This window comes from Homo sapiens, chromosome 1 (genome assembly GCF_000001405.40).
Source record: "Homo sapiens chromosome 1, GRCh38.p14 Primary Assembly".
NCBI classification, from domain to species: Eukaryota; Metazoa; Chordata; class Mammalia; order Primates; family Hominidae; genus Homo; species Homo sapiens.
The window spans coordinates 90,214,030-90,235,930 of record NC_000001.11 but is presented as its reverse complement, the minus strand read 5'-3'; the positions used below and the strand labels follow the sequence as shown (position 1 = coordinate 90,235,930).

Here is a 21,901-nt window from a genome sequence, read left to right as displayed (position 1 = left end):
TCAGGGTCTCTGTGTCCAGGCCTAGGCTCTTGGATAGAATTTCTGGACCTGACCTGGGCCAGAAGAGAGCTTACTGCCCTCAAGGGTGAGTTCCAGGGCTGGCAGCATTCATTTCAAGCTAATGGAAGAGCCCTTGGGCTTTAAGTGAAATCAGAGGTGGCCTGGCACATCCCTCGTGGACCAGTGGTGGTGGTGGCCACAGGGAGAGGCTCCTATGTCTGTGGAAAGTGGAGGGAAGAATAGGAAGGATTTTGTATTTTGGTATGAGTGCCAGCTTAGCCACAGTAGAATAGAACATCAGGTAAACTGCTAAGGTATTTGACTTTGATCCCTGGCTCCCAGACAGCATCTCTGGACATGAATGGGGCCTGGGAGAATTCACCATCCTTAAGGGAAGGGCCTTGTAAAAGACCCAGTGATGCACTGTTTTCAGGACTAACCTAGCACAGTCCCAGTGGTGGGGCCACAGTGGTGCTTGCATCACCACAGCGTCAACTTCAGGTGGCTTAGCACCTTAGAGTGATTCTATTCATTTGGGAGAAAGTAAGGAAAACGAACAAGAGTCTTTGCCTGGTAATCCAGAGGATTCTTCTGGATCTTATTCAAGACCACAAGGGTGGTTTTACAAATCTGCAAAAACCATAGTGCTGTTGGGCTGGGGCCCGAGTTCTTCAAACACCTGGAAAGCCTTCCTACCAAGGACAGGCACAAATAAACCCAGCCAATGAAGACTACAGTAAATATCTAACTCTTCCATGCCCAGACATTGACAAATGTTGCTTTGTAAGCATCAACTCCATCCAGGAAAACATGACCTCATCAAATGAACCAAATAAGACACTAGGGACCAATCCTGGAGAGACAGAGATATATCACCACTCAGAAATAGAATTCAAAATAGCTGTTTTAAGGAAACTCAAAAAAATTCACGATAATGGAGAGAAGGAATTCAGAATTTTATCAGATAAATTTAACAAACATATTGAAATGGTTAAAAAAATCAAGCAGAAATTCTAGAGTGAAAAACGCAATTGACATATTGAAGAATGCGTCAGAGTCTCTTAACAGCAGAACTGATCAAGCAGAAGAATTAGTGAACTTCAAGACAGGCCATTTGAAATTACACAGTCAGAGGAGACCAAAAAATGAAGAAAAAACAATAAAGTATGCTACAAGATCTAGAAAATGGCCTCAAAAAAGCAAATCTAAGAGTTATTGGCCTTAAAGAGGAGGTAGAGAAAGAGATAGGGGCAGAAAGTTTATCCAAAAGAATATCAGAGAACTTCCAAAGCCTATAGAAAGATATCAACATTTAAATGCAAGAAGGTTATAGAACACCAAACAGATCTAACTCAAAGAAGATTACCTCAAGACATTTAATAATCAAACTCCCAAAAGTCAAGAATAAAGAAAGAATTCTAAAAGCAGCAAGAGAAAAGAACAAAATAGCATACAATGGAACTCCAATATGCCTGGCAGAAGACTTTTCAGTGGGAACCTTACAGCCCAAAAGAGAGGCATGATATATTTAAAATGCTGAAGAAAAAAAGTTTTACCCTAGAATAGTATATCCAGAGAAAATATATTTCAAGCATGAAGAAGAAATAAAGGCCTTCCTGGACAAACAAAAGCTAAGGGGTTTCATCAACTTCAGATCTTTCCTACAAGAAATACTAAAGGGAGTTATTCAATCTGAAAGAAAAGGACCTTAATGAGCAAGAAGAGAGAGTGTGAAGGTACAAAACTCACTGGTAATAGTAAACACACAGAAAAACATTGACTAGTATAACACTGTAATGGTGGTGTACAAACTGCTCTTAAGTAGAAAGACTACATGATGAGCCAATAAAAAATAATAACTACAACGGCTTTTTAAGACATAGACTCTACAATAATACATAAAAAAAACAAAAAGTTTAAAGTGGTGAGACGAAGTTAAAGTGTAGAAATTTTACTAGTTTTCTTTTTGTTTCTTTGTTTGTATATGTAATCAGAGTTAAGTTGTCATCAGTTTAAAATAACGGGTTATAGGACAGTATTTGAAAGCCTCATGGTAACCTCAAATTGAAAAAACAGACAATAAATACACAAAAAATTGAAGGAAAGAAGTTAAAGCATACCACCAAAGAAAATCACTTCCACTAAAAGGAAGACAGGAAGGAAAGAAAGAAGGAAGAGAGGACTGCAAAACAACCAGAAATCAAACAAAAAGTGGCAGAGTTAAGTCCCTACTTATCAATAAAAACACTAACTGTAAATGGACTAAACTCTCCAATCAAAAGATGTAAAGTGGCTGAATTGAAGAAAAAACAAAACCCAATGATCTATTACTTATAAGAAACACACTTCACCTATAAAGATACATGAAGACTGAAAATAAAGGAATACAAAAAGATATTCCATGCCAATGTAAACCAAAAAAAAGAGCAATAGCAGCTATACTTATATCAGACAAAATAGATTTCAAGACAAAAACTGTAAGAAAAGACCAAAATAAAGTTCGTTATATAATGATAAAGGGGTTACTTCAGCAAGAAGATATAACAACTGTAAGTACATATGCATCCAACACTGGAACACCCAAATATATAAAGCAAATATTATTTGCGATAAAGAGGGAGATAGACCCCGATACAATAATATCTGTAGACTTCAGTACGCCACTTTCAGCATTGGACAGATCTCCCAGACAGATAATCAACAAAGAAATACAGGACTTAATCTGCGCTATAGAACAAACGGATCTAATAGATATTTACAGAACATTTCATCCAACGACTGAAGAATACACATTCTTCTCTTCAGCACATGGATCATTCTCAAAGATAAATCACATGTTAGGTCACAAAATAAGTCTCAAAACATTCAAAAAATTGAAATAATATCAAGCATCTTCTCTGACCACAATGGACTAAAACTAGAAATCAATAACAAGAGGAATTTTGGAAACTATAGAAACACATAGAAATTAAACAATATGCTCTTGAATGACCAGTAGGACAATGAAGAAATTAAGAAAGAAATTGAAAATTTTCTGGAAACAAATGAGAAAGGAAGCACAATATACCAAAACCCATGGCATACAGCAAAAGCAGTGCTAAGAGGGAAATATTTCTAGCTATAAGTACCTATATCAGAAAAGAAGAAAAACATCCAATAAATAACCTAATGATGCATCTTAAAGAATGAGAAAAGCAAGAACAAGCCAAACCCAAAATTAGGAGAAGAAAAGAAATAATAAGGATGAGAGCAGAAATAAATGAATTTGAAATGAAGAAACAATACAAAAATCAATGAAACAAAAACAAAAAGTTGGCCGGGCGCGGTGGCTCACGCCTGTAATCCCAGCACTTTGGGAGGCCGAGGCGGGTGGATCATGAGGTCAGGAGATCGAGACCATCCTGGCTAACAAGGTGAAACCCCGTCTCTACTAAAAATACAAAAAATTAGCCGGGCGCAGTGGCGGGTGCCTGTAGTCCCAGCTACTCGGGAGGCTGAGGCAGGAGAATGGCATGAACCCCGGAAGCGGAGCTTGCAGTGAGCCGAGATTGCGCCACTGCAGTCCGCAGTCCGGCCTGGGCGACAGAGCGAGACTCCGTCTCAAAACAAAAAAAAAAAAAAAAAAAAAGTTGTTTTTTTTTTTTTGAGAAGATAACAAAACTGATAAACTTGTAGCCAAACTAACTAAGAAAAGAAGAAAGACCCAAATAAATAAAATCAGGGATGAAAAAAGAGACACTACAGCTGATACTGCAGAAACTCAAAGGATCACTAGTGGCTACTATGAGCAACTATATGCCAATAAATTGGAAAATCTAGAAGAAATGAACAAATTCCTAGACATACACAACCTACCAAGATTAAACCATGAAGAAATCCAAAACCTGTATAGACCAATAACAAATAATGAGATCGAAGCCTGAACAAAAATCTCCCAGTAAAGAAAAACCCAGGACCCAATGGCTTCACTGCTGAATTCTAACAAACATTTAAAGAAGAACTAACAACAATCTTACTTAAATTGTTTCAAAAAATAGAGAAGAGTATCCTTCCAAACTCATTCTATGAGGCCAGTATTGCCCTGATACCAAAATCAGATAAACACACACCAAAGAAAAAACTACAGGCCCATGTCTCTGGTGAATATTAATGTAAAAATCTTCAACAAATATTAGCAAACCAAATTCAACAACACCTTAAAAAGATCAGTCATCATGAGCAAGTGGCATTTATCCTAGGAATGTGAGGATGATTCAACATATGCAAATTAATCAAGGTGATACATTACATCAACAGAATGAATGACAAAGATCATATATCACTTCAATTGATGCTGAAAAGGCATTTGATAAAGTTTAACATCACTTCATGATAAAAACCCTGTAAAAACTGGGTATGGAAGGAACATACCTAAACATAATAAAAGCTATATATGACAGACCCACAGCTAGTATATTGAATAGGGAAAAACTAAAAGCCTTTTCTCCAAAATCTAGAATATGAATATGACAAGAATGTCCATTTGTACCACTGTTATTCAACATAGTATTTGAAGTCCTATCTAGAGCAATCATACAAGAGAAAGAAATAAAGGGCATCCAAATTAGAAAGAAAGAAGTCAAACTGTCCTTGTTTGCAGATGATATGATCTTATATTTGGAAAAACCCTAAGGCTCTACCAAAAAAACTATTAAAACTGATAAGTGCAGTAAAGTTGTAGGATACAAAGTCCACATACAAAAGTCAGCATCATTTCTATAAGCCAACAGTGAACAATCTGAAAAAGAAATCAAGAGTAATCTCATTTATAATAACCACAAACAAAATTAAAGGTGAGGGATTAATTCAACCAAAGAAGTAAAAGATCTCTGCTATGAAAACTATAAATCATGATTAAAGAAACTGAAGAGGGCACACAAAAAAGGAAAAATATGTTCATGGATTATAAGCATCAATATTGTTAAAATTCCATGCTACCCAAAGCAATGTACATATTCAGTGCAATCTCTATCAAAATACCAATGATATTCTTCACAGAAATAGAAAAACCAATTCTAAAATGTATATGGAATCACAAAAGACTCAGAATAGCCAAAGCTATCCTGAGCAAAAAGAACAACTGCAGGAATCACATTTCCTGACTTCACATTATACTACCAAGCTATAGAAAGCTCTGTAGCTCTATAGTAAAACTGCATGCAGTACTGGCATAAAAACAGACACATAGACCAATGGAACAGAGTAGAGATCCCAGAAACAAATCCACACATCTACAGTGAACTTATTTTTTACAAAGGTGCCAAGAATATACATTGGGGAAAAGACAGTCTTTCAATAAATGGTGCTGGGAAAACTAGATATCCATATGCAGAAGCATGGAATTAGACCCTATCTCTCACTATATACAAAAAAAAAAAAAAAAAAAAACGGATTAAAGACTTAAATGTAAGACCTCAAACTATGAAACTACTAAAGGAAGGCATTGGGGAAACTCCCCAGGACATTGGCCTGGGCAAAATTTTTTTGGGTAATACCTCACAAGCACAGGCAACCAAAGCAAAAATGGAAAAATGGGATCACATCAACTTAAAAAGCTTCTGAACAGCAAATGAAACAATCAACAAAGTGGAGAGACAACCCACAGAAAGGGAGAAAATATTTGCAAACTACCCATCTGACAAGGGATTAATAACCAGAATGTATAAGGAGCTCAAACAACTCTATACGAAAATCTCTAACAATCCAATTTTAAAATGGGCAAAACATATGAATAGACATTTCTCAAAAGAAGATATACAAATGGCAAACAGGCATACAAAAAGGTGCTCAGCATCACTGATCATCAGAAAAATGCAAATCAAAACTACAATGAGATATCATTTCACCCCAGTTAAAATGGCTTTTATCCAAAAGTCAGGCAAAAGCAAATGCTAGCAAGGATGTCGAGTAAAGGAAAGTCTCATTGGCTGTTGGTGGGAATATAAATTAGTACAACCACTATGGAGAACAGTTCAGAGGTTACTCAAAAAACTAAAAATAGAGCTACCATATGACCCAGCAATCCCACTACTAGGTATAGCTCTAAAGAAAGGAAATTGGTATATCAAACAGATATCTGGCACCCCCATGTTTGTTGCAGCACTGTTCACAATAGCCAAGATTGGAAGCAACCTAAATGTCCCTCAACAGAAGAATGGATAAAGAAAATGTGATACTTACACACAATAGAGTACTATTCAGCCACAGAAAAGAATATTCTGTGATTTGCAACAAAATGGATGGAACTGGAGGTCATTATGTTAAGTGAGATAAGCCAGGCACATAAAGACAAACGTCACATGTTCTTACTTTTATTGTGGAATCTAAAAATCAAAACAATTGAATTCCTGGAGATAGAGAATACAAGGATGGTTATCAGAGGCTGGGAAGGGTAGTGAGGAGAGGGGTGAGGTGGGGATAGTTGATGAGTACAAAAAATAAAATAGGAATAATAAATAAGACCTAATATATTGCACAACAGGGTGAGTATAGTCAATAATAATAGTATATTTTAAAATAACTTAAAGTATAACAGTTGGACTCTTTGTAACAAAAAGATAAATGCTCAAGGAAACAAATATCCAATTTTCCATGGTCTGATTATATGCATGGCAAGCCTGTACCAAAATAACTCAGGTACTCCATAAATATATACACCTACTACATACCCACAAAAATTAAAATTAATAAAATATTTAACCAATCAATTCATTACATTAAGAAAATTAAGAGAAAGAAAACAAATAATTGTATCAATAGATTTTTTAAAAATAATTTGACGTAATTCAACATCGTTTATAATAAAAACCTCTGCAAAGTACTAATAGAAAGGAGATTCCTCAATCTAATAAAGGGCATCTATGAAAAACATGCAGCTATTTAGTGGTAAAAAATTGAATACATTTCCCCTAAGATCAGCAGAAAGGCAAGAATCATCAAAACTATTCCACATTGTACTGGAAGTCCTAACAAGTGCAGAAAGGCAAGAGGAAAAAAAGCAAAATAACAGATTGTAAACAACATCCGACAATGTTTATTCAAAGACAATATGATTATGTATGTAAAAAATCCAAAAGAAGGCACACACCAAAAATACACTATGAGAATAAGTGAATTTAGCAAGTATCAATTTACATCATCAACAGTCAAAAATTTATTGAATTTCTGTATACTAGTAACTAAGAATTGAATTTGAAAAAAATACTATCAATAGTAGCACCCAAAACATTAAACACAAATACTTACATATAAATTATTAAGGTGCAAGACCTGCACACTGAAAACTACAAAGAATTAAGAGAAGTTAAAGATAACTTAAATAAATAGAAAGATATATCATATTCAAATATTAAATACATAGAAAGATACACCATATTCAAAGATGAAAAGATTTAATATTGTTGAGATGTTGTTATGGGCTGAATTGTGTCCTCTAAGATTCATGTTAAGCTCCTAATTCCCATTATTTGAGAATGTGACTGTATTGGAAAATAACACCTTTAAAGAGGTAAATAAGATAAAATGAGGTCATATAGGCAGGCCATAGTCTGATAGGACTAGTGTCCTTATAAGGAGAGGAAATTAGTACACAGGCAACACACAGATTCAGGGGCAACCTTGTGAGGACACATCAAGAAGGCAGCCATCTGCAAGCCAAGTAAAGAGGCCTCAGAAGAAACCAAACCTGCTGACACCTTTATCTTGGACTTCTAGCCTCCAGAACTGTGAGACAATAAAGTTCTGTCATTTAAGCCACCACATCAGTGGTATTTTGTCATGGTAGTACTACCAAAATAATACAGATTTTAATCTCCCCAAGTTGATCAATAGATGCTATGCTATTGTAATCAAAGTCCAAACAGGCATTTTTGTAAAAATTGATAAATGGATCCTAAAATGTATATGAAATAAAGGAAACAAGTAAGTTATGTAAAAAACAAAATAATCTTGAAAGATAATACGGAAGATTTATACTACCTGATTTAAAGACATAATAAAACTACTGTAATCTAGGCAGTAAGGAATAGGAGAAGCAAACAGATCAAATGAACAGAATAAAGAATACATAAATAGACCCACATATATATCATCAATTGTTTACAGAGGCAATAAGGAATTCAGAGGGGAAAGGAAACTTTCTAACAAATAATTCTAGAAGAACTGGATAACTATATGACAAAAAAATAATTTCAACTCCTACCTCACACCATGAACAAAAATTAATTTTGGATGGCTCATAGATCCAATTACAAAAGTTGAAACTACAAAGCTTCTAGAAGAAAACATAAGAGAATATTTTCATGAACTTGAATAAGAAAAATTTTCTTAGGCAAGTCTTAAAGAGCATTAAAAAGAAAATTTTGAAAATGACTGGTGGACAAAATGTAAAGCTTCTGCTTGTCAAAACAAAAAAAGAAAATGAATAGGCAAAAAAAGTGAGAAAAAATATTCATAACACATCCCTCCAGCAAAGAACTTATGATCAGAATGTATAAAGAGCTCCGACTAATAGCAAAAAGACAGTGCATTGATAATATCAGCAACAGATTTGAACAGCCTCTCATAAAACAAGATATATGAATATATATGGCCAGAACCCAATGAAAAGGTATTCAACATCATTAGTTGCCAGGGAAAAGCAAATTAAACAACAACGATATCTCTATGTATTCAGTAAATGGCAAAAATTAGAAAGACAGATAAAACTAAATGCTGGAGAGAGTGTAGAGCAACTGGAACTGTCATACATTGCTGGTGAGAGTGTAAAGTTGAACAACTGTTTCAAAAAACCTTTTGTCAATTTTTTATAAAGTTACATACATATTTACCATATGGCCCATTACTCCCACTTTTAGGTATTTATCCAAGAGAAATTAAAGTACGTGTCTACACAAACTTGTAGAAGAAGGATCATAATACCTTTATTCTTAATATAGTCCTCAACTGGAAACAACCAAATTGTCTATCAAAAAATGACTAGGCAAATACATCATGGCACATTTATCCAATTGGGTGTGCATTAGTCCATTTTCACACTGCTGATAAAGACATACACAAGACTGGGAAATTTATAAAGAAAAAGAGGTTGAATGGACTCACAGTTCCACATGGCTGGAGAGGCCTAACAATCATGGCAGAAGGCAAAAGTCACAACTTACATGGTAGCAGGCAAGAGAGAATGAGAGCATGTGCAGGGGAACTCCCCTTTATAAAACCATCAGATCTCATGAGATTTATTCACTATCACAAGAACAACACAGGAAAGACTCACCCTCATGATTCAATTACCTCTCACTGGGTCTCTCACATGATGCATGGGAATTATGAGAACCACATTAGAGATTTGGGTGGGGACACAGCCAAACCATATAATTCCACCCCTGGCACCTCCCAAATCTCATGTCTTCACATTTCAAAACTAATCATGCCTTCCCAACAGTCCCATAAAGTCTTTTTTTTGAGACGGAGTCTTGTTCTGTCGACCAGGCTGGAGTGCAGTGGCGTGATCTCAGCTCACTGCAAGCTCTGCCTCCCAGGGTCACACCATTCTCCTGCCTCAGTCTCCTGAGTAGCTGGGACTACAGGCATCTGCCACCACACCCAGCTAACTTTTTGTCAGTCCCACAAAGTCTTAACTCATTTCAGCATTAACTCAAAAGTCCACAGTCTAAAGTCTCAGCTGAGACAAGGTAAATCCCTTTCACCTATGAGCCTGTAAAGTCAAAAGCAAGTTGGTTACTTCCTAGATACAATGGGGGTACAGGCATTGGATAAAGACACCCATTCCAAATGAAATAAATTGTCCAAAACAAAAGGGCTCCAGGCCCCAAGGAAGTCCAAAATGTAATAGAGCAGTAATTAACTCTTAAATGTCCAAGATGATCTCCTTGGACTCTATGCCTCACATCCAGGTCACTAATGCAAGAGGTGGGTTCCCATGGTCTTGGGCAACTCCACCCCTGTGGCTTTGCAGGGTACAGTCTCTCCCAGCTGCTTTCACAGGCTGGCTTTGAGTGTCTGTGGCTTTTCCAGGTGCATGGTGCAAGCTGTAGGTGGATCTACCATTCTGGGACCTGGAGGACACTGGCCCTCTTCTCACAGCTCCACTAGACAGTGCTCCAGTGGGGACTCTGTGTCAGGGCTCCAACCCCATATTTCCCTTTCGCATTGCCCTAGCACGGGTTCTCCATGAGGGCTCTGCTCCTGCAGCAAACTTCTGCCTGGACATCCAGGCATTTCCATACATCCTCTGAAATCTAGGCAGAGGTTCCCAAACCTCAATTCTTGACTTCTGTTCACCTGCAGGCTCAACACCACATGGAAGCTGCCAAGGCTTAGGGTTTGCACACTCTGAAGCCATGGCCTGAGCTGTACCTTGGCCCCTTTTAGCCATGGCTAGAGCAGCCAGAACACAGGGCACCAAGTCCCTAAGCTGCACACAGCAGTGGGGAGCCTGGGCCTGGCCCAAGAAACCATTTTTTCCTCTTAGGCCTCTGGGCCTATAAAGGGAGGGGCTGCCCTGAAGATCTCTGACATGGCCTAGAGACATTTTCTCCATTGTCTTGGTGATTAGCATTTGGTTCCTCATTACTTACGCAAATTTCTACAGCCAGCTTAAATTTCTCCCCAGAAAATGTTTTTTTCTTTTCTACTACATTGTGAGGCTGCAAATTTTCCAAACTTTTATGCTCTGTCACCTCTTGAATGCTTTTCCACTTGGAAGTTTCTTCCACCAGATACCCCAAATCATCTCTCTCAAGTTCAAAGTTCCACAGACCTCTAGGACAGGGGCAAAATGCCACCAGTCTATTTGTACAGCCAGAGTGACCTTTACTCCAGTTCCCAAAAAGTTCCTCATCTCCATCTGAGACCACCTCAGCCTGGACCTTATTGTTCATATCACTATCAGCATTTTGGTCAAAGCCATTCAACAAGTCTCTAGGAAGTTCTAAACTTTCCCACATTTTCCTGTCTTCTTCTGGGCCCTCCAAACTGTTCCAACCTCTGCCTGTTACCCAGTTCTAAAGTTGCTTTCACTTTTTCGGATATCTTTACAGTAGCGCCTCACTCCCAGTACCAGTTTACTGTATTAGTTCATTTTCATGCTGCTAATAAAGACATATCCCAGACTGGGTATTTTATAAAGAAAAAGAGGTTTAATGGATTCACAGTTCCACATGGCTGGAGAGGCCTCACAATCATGGTGGAAGGCAAAAGGCACATCTTACATCGCGGCAGGCAAGAGAGAATGAGAGCCAAGAAAAAGGGGAAACCTTTTATAAAACTATCTATAAAACTATCACATCTTATGAGACTTATTCACTGTCACAAGAAGAGCATGGGAAAGACCCAGCCTCATGATTCAATTACTTCCCATAGCGTCCCTCCCAGGACACGTGGGAATTATGGGAGCTACAATTCAAGATTTGGGTGGGCACACAGCCAAACCATATAAGGGAGCTACTCTGCAATAAAAACAAACAACTGGTGCACTTAAATCCTAGCACTTTGGGGGTTGAGGAGGGCGGATTGCCTGAGCTAAGGAGTTCAAAACCAGCCTGGGCAACGTGGTGAAACCCCGTCTCTACTAAAATAGAAACAAAATTAGCCAGGCGTATGGTGTGCACCTGTAGTCCCAGCTACTCAGGAGGCTGAGGCAGGAGAATTGTTTGAACCCAGGAGGCAGAGGTTGCAGTGAGCCAAGATCACACCATTGCACTCCAGCCTGGGTGACAGTGCGAGACTTTGTCTCTACAAAAAAAAAGAAAAAAGAAAAATCATGTACCTAACTATGTATACACTGTACCTCAATAATATTAAAATAGATATTATATCAGAAGTTGAGGCTTACTAAGAAGAAAAGTAAAGAAAAGAGAGGCAATGCAGTGTGCAATATACAGTCAGTTGCTATTTTAGATAGGGTAATTTGGGAAGTCCTCTGCTGGGTGGCATTTGAAGAAAAAACCTGAAGGAAGCGACTAATTGGGAGGAGAGTGCTCAAGGTAGAAATCAGAAAGAACAAGTGCCTCAAGGCAAGAGCACCCTTGGCTTGCTCAAGGAACAGCAAGGAGGTCAACATGGTTTAAGTGACATATTCAAGGGGGACTGTAATGTTGTGAAATGTATATGTATGTGTGTATGTGTATATATATATATATATATTCTTCCTCTAGTTTCCTGGCACACACTTCCTAAAGACTTTGGCATCTCTTCAGTGATAAATGCCTTTTTGTATGATCATGAGATGACTGGTGAATGGGGAATCCTAGACAGCTTCAAGAGGGAGGCTGGTTGCCAGGGGAACCAATCATGTGATGAGAGGGTTGAAGCTTTCAGTCCCACCACCCAACTTCCAGGGAGGGGAGAGAGAGTGAAGGTTGAGTTATTACCAATGGCCAATGATGTAATCAATCATGCCTGTGTAATAAAGCCTCCATGAAACCCCAAAAGGACAGAGTTCAGAGAATTTTTCCAAACAGCTGAACAGGTGAAGATTCCTGCAGGATGAGGTGCCCAGAGAGGACATGAAAGCTCTGGGCCCCTTCCCTGTTCCTTGCCCTATGCATTTTTTCATCTGACTGCTTGTTTGTATCCTTTGTAATATGCTTTATAATAAATGGGTCAATGTAAATAAAGTGTTTCCCTGAGTTCTGTGAGCTGCTCTAGCAAATTAATTGAACCCGGGGAAGGGGTTGTGGGAACTCTGATTCATATCTGATTGGTCAGAAATACAGGTCACAATTTGTGCTTGCAATTAGCATCTGAAGTGGGGGGAGGGCAGCCCTGTGGGACTGAGCCCTCAACCTGTGGGATCTGAAGCGATCTCCAGGTACTGTCAGAATTGAGGTAAATTATTCACAGTTGGTGTCCAATGGAGAATTGATTAGTTGTTGGTAGGGAGAAGTCCCCACACACATTTTGCTTACCAAAGTGAGGTGTTCTGTGTTGAGAGCGCGAGAGGGGAAGGAAAAAAACTATTTGTTTGTTAGTTTTCCCTTCAGGTAGTGTTAGGAGATGAGGGCCAAGAGGATGGGAATTCAGATCACACAGGTCTTGAAAGTCATTGTGAAGACTCCCAGTTTCAGTCTGAGATGGGAAGTCACAGGAAAAGTTGAGCAGAGGAGCGGCAGGACCCTTCACAGAGATTCACTCTGGCTGCTGTGATGAGAATAAACTCAGGTGGAGGCAAGGGGTTGAAACAAGGGCAAAAGCAGAGATATTAGTTGGGCGGCTACTTCAATGGCTTCAAACAGGAGTAGCGGCAATGGTGAAAAGTGGTTATCATCTGAATATATTTTGAAAGTAGGGCCAACGGGATTTGCTGGTGGACTGGATATGGGGTATGATGAAATAAAAGGAGTCAGGGATGATTCTGAGTTTTTAGGCTGAGCACTGTTAGAATTTGAATCCCAGCAGTGCAGCTCCAGAGCTAGCAAGGACTCAACCACTACAATTACTGCCTTCCTCCCTCAGAGCCTCACCCACAGCCACTGCTGACCCCTGTCCAATCCAGCTCAGCATGCCAGCAGGACCTGCACCTTTGGGAATCACCCAGGCCCCTGCCATCTTCCCTCCTGAGACTGCTTTTGCCACCTTACTGTCTGGTTAAATCCAGTTTCTGCTTTTCTGCCCATTCCCTTTGGATGTGGCAATCATTTGGACTGTCTGGTCCTCGGCCCCACCTTTGCCAGTAGACATTGCCTTTTTAAGTTCCCTTGCTCCATGCCTAAAGTCTTAGGTTACTGCTGACTTACACCTTTGCAACAAACCCCAGGCCTAACAAGAGACCTATGACAGCTTATATCGACCAAGAGAGAAGTTCAGAAATCATTTAAGTTTTCAAAGCAGACAATTAGGCAAAACCACACCCCACACAAGGTGCCCAGCCAAAGGGTCAAGCTGGGTTTGAAATCCAATTCATGCTCTTGTCTCCAAGATCTGAGCCTCAGTGCTAGACTGCATCCTAGAAGTACTATTATTTCCCAATTGGTCCACTCAAAAATGTCTTTTATGTCACCTTTTCCTAATTTGCCCAAAGGTATCATCTATACAAAAGAAGTCCCTATTTCAAAATCAGCCAAGCATGATTCAGATTCACAATGGTTGGGCTTTTTTTCACTACAGTGAGAACATTAACAGAGCCTGCTAAACTGCTGTCTCTCTTGCTTAGAACTTTTGTAAAATTTAAGTGAAAGAAGAGACCAAACTTCATTGATATCGGAATATCAGAAGGCAATTTTTCTGGTAGCATCCCTTGTCTTGTCCCACATCCGCACGTTACTGTTTCTCCTCCACTCCAGAAATGCAAACAGCTTTTGCTTATTTCTACTGAACATGGTTCCTTTTTCTCTGATGTTGTCTCGATTGAACCTGAGAAGCTGACATAATTGTGCAATTCATAGCTAGTGAAACTTGAACTTTGAACAGTAACTGGAGATCTGAGCAGATAAAGGCATCTGACAAGAGTTTGTACTTGACAACACCAGCATCCCTTCTCTTCTGAATAATAATATAACCAATTCAACATCCTCTATTTTCTTGCTGTTGCAACATTGAATTCAAGTGCTAGTATGACCTGACTGTTTATCGGGTAAGAACTCAATTAATTTGAGTCCAGACTCATTAATTGTGCTTAATTCACATTTGACCATTGTGTTTGGTCTCTGACCTCTGGTCCCACTTTTGCATGGAAATCTCCCTCTCAGCAGAAACACATCATGCTCTGGCACACAGCCACTCACTTCCTATTCTGATTGAGCCTCTTTCCTGTCACCACAGGTGCTGAATTTCCCCAGACATATCTCAATGATACATTCAGAGAGGCTAGTTTTTAAAAGATTCTGATAAGCTCTTTTCACATTATTATAATTCATGAAGGGAGGCTTGTGATGTGGTATAAAGAGTCCTGGACTAGATGCAATTCACACACTATGTATTTAGTGAATATTTGTTAAATGAGAGAATAGCCCTAGCTGTCCCAGGAACCAGCTTGTGATTTGAGTTAGGTCATGCCATCTCACAGGGCTTCACTCTCCTCATTTGTAATGTCCAGAGGCTGGAAAGGCGGATTCTGCGATCCAGAATAGAGGCTTGTCAAATTCCCATCTCTCCTATCACAGTTCTCCAAAGGGTTTTTCAGGCAAATTTTAAAAAGAGGCTGAAAAACAAGCTCCTGGAACTCAAATGGCCTTTGGGAGTTTCCTTTGAGACACTCTTCCTTAAGTGGACAACTTTGGAGACCAGTCATGGGGCCCTCGGGGGTTTTCTCAAGTAGCTAAAGCAATCTGGAGATGCAATAAACCCAGCCAATATTTTGAAACACATTCCACCCCTATACTTTTATTTTTACCTTTTCCTTTTAACTCCATATAATTTTTAGAAGAAAATTCACCTTAGGGTCTGGTTTGTTTTCCAGGAATTCACTTTATCCCTTGGTAATTCATTGGGGTATTATAAAAGCACTTCTTGGGGAAATCTTTAGGCTATTTAGTCTTTTTCTACCCTTTGAGTAAAATCACTGATCTTATCATGGCTAGGATATTGACACATTCAAAGAGACAAAAACTGTGTAAGTAGACACTTAAAACAAAATTGTTATAAACTCTACACTTAGAAAACATTCTCACACTCAATTTTAAAGTTTGTTTCTCTTTCATGGCCATTTTCATGGATAGTTTAGTTAAAATTGAAGAGGCAATTCTAAAGATTAGTCATAGACATATCACTAACCTAGGATTCAGAAGAACTGATCTCTACATCAGCTCTCCCTAGCACTATTTTGCTGAGACATTATCAAAAGTATTATGGAATCTGAAATTTGGGGAGAAATACAGAGGTCACTGAGAAATGAGGAGGGTTTTTTCAGAAGAAAGCCTCTCTTCTCCAGCCTATGTAAATATTTTCTGTGATTCAAAACAAAAGCTTACTATTTCCTGCCTATTTTCATTGCTGAAAAGGCATGGTAGAAAGATTTTTCTAACAACCACTTCCATCTTTGCTCCTAGTTCTACAAAGAAAATTAAGAATAGCTTACTTTTGAATATAGATTTGAGGAGCCAAGATGGCCGAATAGGAACGGCTCAGGTCTACAGCTCCCAGCCTGAAGGACGCAGAAGACGGGTGATTTCTGCATTTCCATCTGAGGTACCGGGTTCATCTCACTAGGGAGTGCCAGTCAGTGAGCGCAGGTCAGTGGGTGCGCGCACCGTGTGCGAGCCGAAGCAGGGCGAGGCATTGCCTCACTCGGGAAGCGCAAGGGGTCAGGGAGTTCCCTTTCTTAATCAAAGAAAGGGGTGATGGACAGCACCTGGAAACTCGGGTCACTCCCACCCGAATACTGCGCTTTTCTGACGGGCTTAAAAAACGGCGCACCACGAGATTATATCCCACACCTGGCTCAGAGGGTCCTACCCCACGGAGTCTCGCTGATTGCTAGCACAGCAGTCTGAGATCAAACTGCAAGGCGGCAGCGAGGCTGGGGGAGGGGCGCCCACTATTGCCCAGGCTTGCTTAGGTAAACAAAGCAGCCTGGAAGCTCGAACTGGGTGGAGCCCACCACAGCTCAAGGAGGCCTGCCTGCCTCTGTAGGCTCCACCTCTGGGGTCAGGGTACAAACAAAAAGACAGCAGTAACCTCTGCAGACTTAAATGTCCCTGTCTGACAGCTTTGAAGAGAGCAGTGGTTCTCCCAGTATGCAGCTGGAGATCTGAGAAGGGGCAGACTGCCTCCTCAAGTGGGTGCCTGACCCCTGACCCCTGAGCAGCCTAACTGGGAGGCACCCCCCAACAGGGGCACACTGACACCTCACACTGCAGGGTACTCCAACAGACCTGCAGCTGAGGGTCCTGTCTGTTAGAAGGAAAACTAACAAACAGAAAGGACATCCACACCAAAAACCCATCTGTACATCACCATCATCAAAGACCAAAAGTAGATAAAACCACAAACATGGGGAAAAAACAGAACAGAAAAACTGGAAACTCTAAAAATCAGAGCGCCTCTCCTCCTCCAAAGGAAGGCAGCTCCTCACCAGCAACGGAAAAAAGCTGGACAGAGAATGACTTTGACGAGCTGAGAGAAGGAGGCTTCAGACGATCAAATTACTCTGAGCTATGGGAGGACATCATAATGACAGGATCAAATTCACACATAACACTATTAACTTTAAATGCAAATGGACTAAATGCTCCAGTTAAAAGACACAGACTGGCAAATTGGATAAAGAGTCAAGACCCATCGGTGTGCTGTATTCAGGAAACCCATCTCACGTGCAGAGATACACATAGGCTCAAAATAAAAGGATGGAGGAAGATCTACCAAGCAAATGGAAAACAAAAAAAGGCAGGGGTTGCAATCCTAGTCTCTGATAAAACAGACTTTAAACCAACAAAGATAAAAAGAGACAAAGAAGGCCATTACATTATGGTAAAGGGATCAATTCAACAAGAAGAGCTAACTATCCTAAATATATATGCACCCAATACAGGAGCACCCAGATTCATAAGGCAAGTCCTAAGTGACTTACAAAGAGAGTTAGACTCCCACACATTAATAATGGGAGACTTTAACACCCCACTGTCAACATTAGACAGATCAACGAGACAGAAAGTCAACAAGGATACCCATGAATTGAACTCAGCTCTGCACCAAGTGGACCTAATAGACATCTACAGAACTCTCCACCCCAAATCAACAGAATATACATATTTTTCAGCACCACACCGCACCTATTCCAAAATTGACCACATACTTGGAAGTAAAGCTCTCCTCAGCAAATGTAAAAGAACAGATATTATAACAAACTGTCTCTCAGACCACAGTGCAATCAAACTAGAACTCAGGATTAAGAATCTCACTCAAAACCGCTCAACTACATGGAAACTGAACAACCTGCTCCTGAATGACTACTGGGTACATAACGAAATGAAGGCAGAAATAAAGATGTTCTTTGAAACCCACGAAAACAAAGACACAACATACCAGAATCTCTGGGACGCATTCAAAGCAGTGTGTAGAGGGAAATTTATAGCACTAAATGCCCACAAGAGAAAGCAGGAAAGATCCAAAATTGACACCCTAACATCACAATTAAAAGAACTAGAAAAGCAAGAGCAAACACATTCAAAAGCTAGCAGAAGGCAAGAAATAACTAAAATCGGAGCAGAACTGAAGGAAATAGAGACACAAAAAACCCTTCAAAAAATTAATGAATCCAGGAGCTGGTTTTTTGAAGGGATCAACAAAATTGATAGACCGCTAGCAAGACTAATAAAGAAAAAAAGAGAGAAGAATCAAATAGACGCAATAAAAAATGATAAAGGGGATATCACCACCGATCCCACAGAAATACAAACTACCATCAGAGAATACTATGAACACCTCTATGCAAATAAACTAGAAAATCTAGAAGAAATGGATAAATTCCTGGACACATACACTCTCCCAAGACTAAACCAGGAAGTTGAATCTCTGAATAGACCAATAACAGGATCTGAAATTGTGGCAATAATCAATAGCTTACCAACCAAAAAAAGTCCAGGACCAGATGAATTCACAGCCGAATTCTACCAGAGGTACAAGGAGGAACTGGTACCATTCCTTCTGAAACTATTCCAATCAATAGAAAAAGAGGGAATCCTCCCTAACTCATTTTATGAGGCCAGCATCATTCTGATACCAAAGCCGGGCAGAGACACAACCGAAAAAGAGAATTTTAGACCAATATCCTTGATGAACATTGATGCAAAAATCCTCAATAAAATACTGGCAAATCGAATCCAGCAGCACATCAAAAAGCTTATCCACCATGATCAAGTGGGCTTCATCCCTGGGATGCAAGGCTGGTTCAATATACGCAAATCAATAAATGTAATCCAGCATATAAACAGAGCCAAAGACAAAAACCACATGATTATCTCAATAGATGCAGAAAAGGCCTTTGACAAAATTCAACAACCCTTCATGCTAAAAACTCTCAATAAATTAGGTATTGATGGGACATATTTCAAAATAATAAGAGCTATCTATGACAAATCCACAGCCAATATCATACCAAATGGGCAAAAACTGGAAGCATTCCCTTTGAAAACTGGCACAAGACAGGGATGCCCTCTCTCACCACTCCTATTCAACATAGTGTTGGAAGTTCTGGCCAGGGCAATTAGGCAGGAGAAGGAAATAAAGGGTATTCAATTAGGAAAAGAGGAAGTCAAATTGTCCCTGTTTGCAGATGACATGATTGTATATCTAGAAAACCCCATTGTCTCAGCCCAAAATCTCCTTAAGCTGATAAGCGACTTCAGCAAAGTCTCAGGATACAAAATCAATGTACCAAAATCACAAGCACTCCTATACACCAACAACAGACAAACAGAGAGCCAAATCATGAGTGAAGTCCCATTCACAACTGCTTCAAAGAGAATAAAATACCTAGGAATCCAACTTACAAGGGATGTGAAGGACCTCTTCAAGGAGAACTACAAACCGCTGCTCAAGGAAATAAAAGAGGATACAAACAAATGGAAGAACATTCCATGCTCATGGGTAGGAAGAATCAATATCGTGAAAATGGCCATACTTCCCAAGGTAATTTACAGATTCAATGCCATCCCCATCAAGCTACCAAGGCCTTTCTTCACAGAATTGGAAAAAACTACTTTAAAGTTCATATGAAACCAAAAAAGAGCCCGCATCGCCAAGTCAATCCTAAGCCAAAAGAACAAAGCTGGAGGCATCACACTACCTGACTTCAAACTATACTACAAGGCTACAGTAACCAAAACAGCATGGTACTGGTACCAAAACAGAGATATAGATCAATGGAACAGAACAGAGTCCTCAGAAATTATGCCGCATATCTACAACTATCTGATCTTTGACAAACCTGAGAAAAACAAGCAATGGGGAAAGGATTCCCTATTTAATAAATGGTGCTGGGAAAACTGGCTAGCCATATGTAGAAAGCTGAAACTGGATCCTTCCTTACACCTTATACAAAAATCAATTCAATATGGATTAAAGACTTAAACATTAGACCTAAAACCATAAAAACCCTAGAAGAAAACCTAGGCATTACCATTCAGGACATAGGCATGGGCAAGGACTTCATGTCTAAAACACCAAAAGCAATGGCAACAAAAGACAAAATTGACAAATGGGATCTAATTAAACTAAAGAGCTTCTGCACAGCAAAAGAAACTACCATCAGAGTGAACAGGCAACCTACAAAATGGGAGAAAATTTTTGCAACCTACTCATCTGACAAAGGGCTAATATCCAGAATCCACAAAGAACTCAAACAAATTTACAAGAAAAAAACAAACAACCCCATCAAAAAGTGGGCGAAGGACATGAACAGACACTTCTCAAAAGAAGACATTTATGCAGCCAAAAAACACACGAAAAAATGCTCACCATCACTGGCCATCAGAGAAATGCAAATCAAAACCACAATGAGATACCATCTCACACCAGTTAGAATGGCAATCATTAAAAAGTCAGGAAACAACAGGTGCTGGAGAGGATGTGGAGAAATAGGAACACTTTTACACTGTTGGTGGGACTGTAAACTAGTTCAACCATTGTGGAAGTCAGTGTGGCGATTCCTCAGGGATCTAGAACTAGAAATACCATTTGACCCAGCCATCCCATTACTGGGTATATACCCAAAGGACTATAAATCATGCTGCTGTAAAGACACATGCACACGTATGTTTATTGCGGCATTATTCACAATAGCAAAGACTTGGAACCAACCCAAATGTCCATCAATGATAGACTGGATTAAGAAAATGTGGCACATATACACCATGGAATACTATGCAGCCATAAAAAATGATGAGTTCATGTCCTTTGTAGGAACATGGATGAAATTGGAAATCATCATTCTCAGTAAACTATCACAAGAACAAAAAACCAAACACCACATATTCTCACTCATAGGTGGGAATTGAACAATGAGAACACATGGACACAGGAAGGGGAACATCACACTCTGGGGACTGTTGTGGGGTGGGGGGAGGGGGGAGGGATAGCATTGGGAGATATACCTAATGCTAGATGACGAGTTAGTGGGTGCAGCACACCAGCATGGCACATGTATACGTATGTAACTAACCTGCACAATGTGCACATGTACCCTAAAACTTAAAGTATAATAAATAAATAAATAAATAAATAAATAAATAAAAAATAAAAAAAGAATAGCTTACTTTTTAAAACATTAATTATATGTACCATGACCTCATTTAAACCTCACAAGAGCTGCTACTTCTGACCAAAATGGAGTACTCGAAACTCCTGCATTAAACAGCTAGAAAAAATTAACAAAATACACAGAACAATGGGTTTTCTTCCATTGGAGAATAGGCAATACAGGAATATGATCCCTGACAAAAGGGAAGCAAGCTGGACCATTGCTGCAGCTCACTACCTGGAGGCAGGTCCTAGGCTGCAGCACAGGGAAAGGGACCTAAATATAAGCCAAAGGTCTCACTTAGATGAAGACACAGATATAGAAGATCAGGAAGGTAAAACATCTACAGCCTCTGGAATAGGAAGCCAGGGAGGGAGGAGCTGCACAGAGAGAAAGAAAAAAAGCTGTGTAGATCTGCTGAGAGTCCCTCAAGTCTTGCTGAGGATGGGTCTGCACATGGATGAGAGTAAATTCTCCAAGGCCCCAGGGAAACCTTCCAGAAAACAAAAGACCAAATAATTCGTGAAGCTCATCTTATATTCCCACCAGGCAGAGTGGACAAACATAATAACACACAGGGAATGAGGTAGAGTTATCAGAAGGGTACAATCTTAGTAGCTAATTTAAATTATCTATATAATAAAGGCTGTCCTAGACACACCCTAACAA

At 39.5% G+C, this 21,901-nt stretch overlaps 1 long non-coding RNA gene across 2 annotated transcripts in view; it reads right to left on the bottom strand.

Moving 5' to 3' along the window:
• LOC105378849 (uncharacterized) overlaps positions 1-16,506 on the bottom strand; it is a 65,806-nt gene extending 49,300 nt beyond the window's left edge. The window contains exon 1 of one of the 2 annotated variants that reach the window (XR_007066216.1): positions 16,073-16,506. This is a non-coding gene — a long non-coding RNA (uncharacterized LOC105378849). The remainder of the gene's footprint in view (positions 1-16,072) is intronic. The other variant, XR_947588.4, reaches the window with a different exon arrangement.
• Between the last annotated feature and the right edge of the window lie 5,395 nt (positions 16,507-21,901).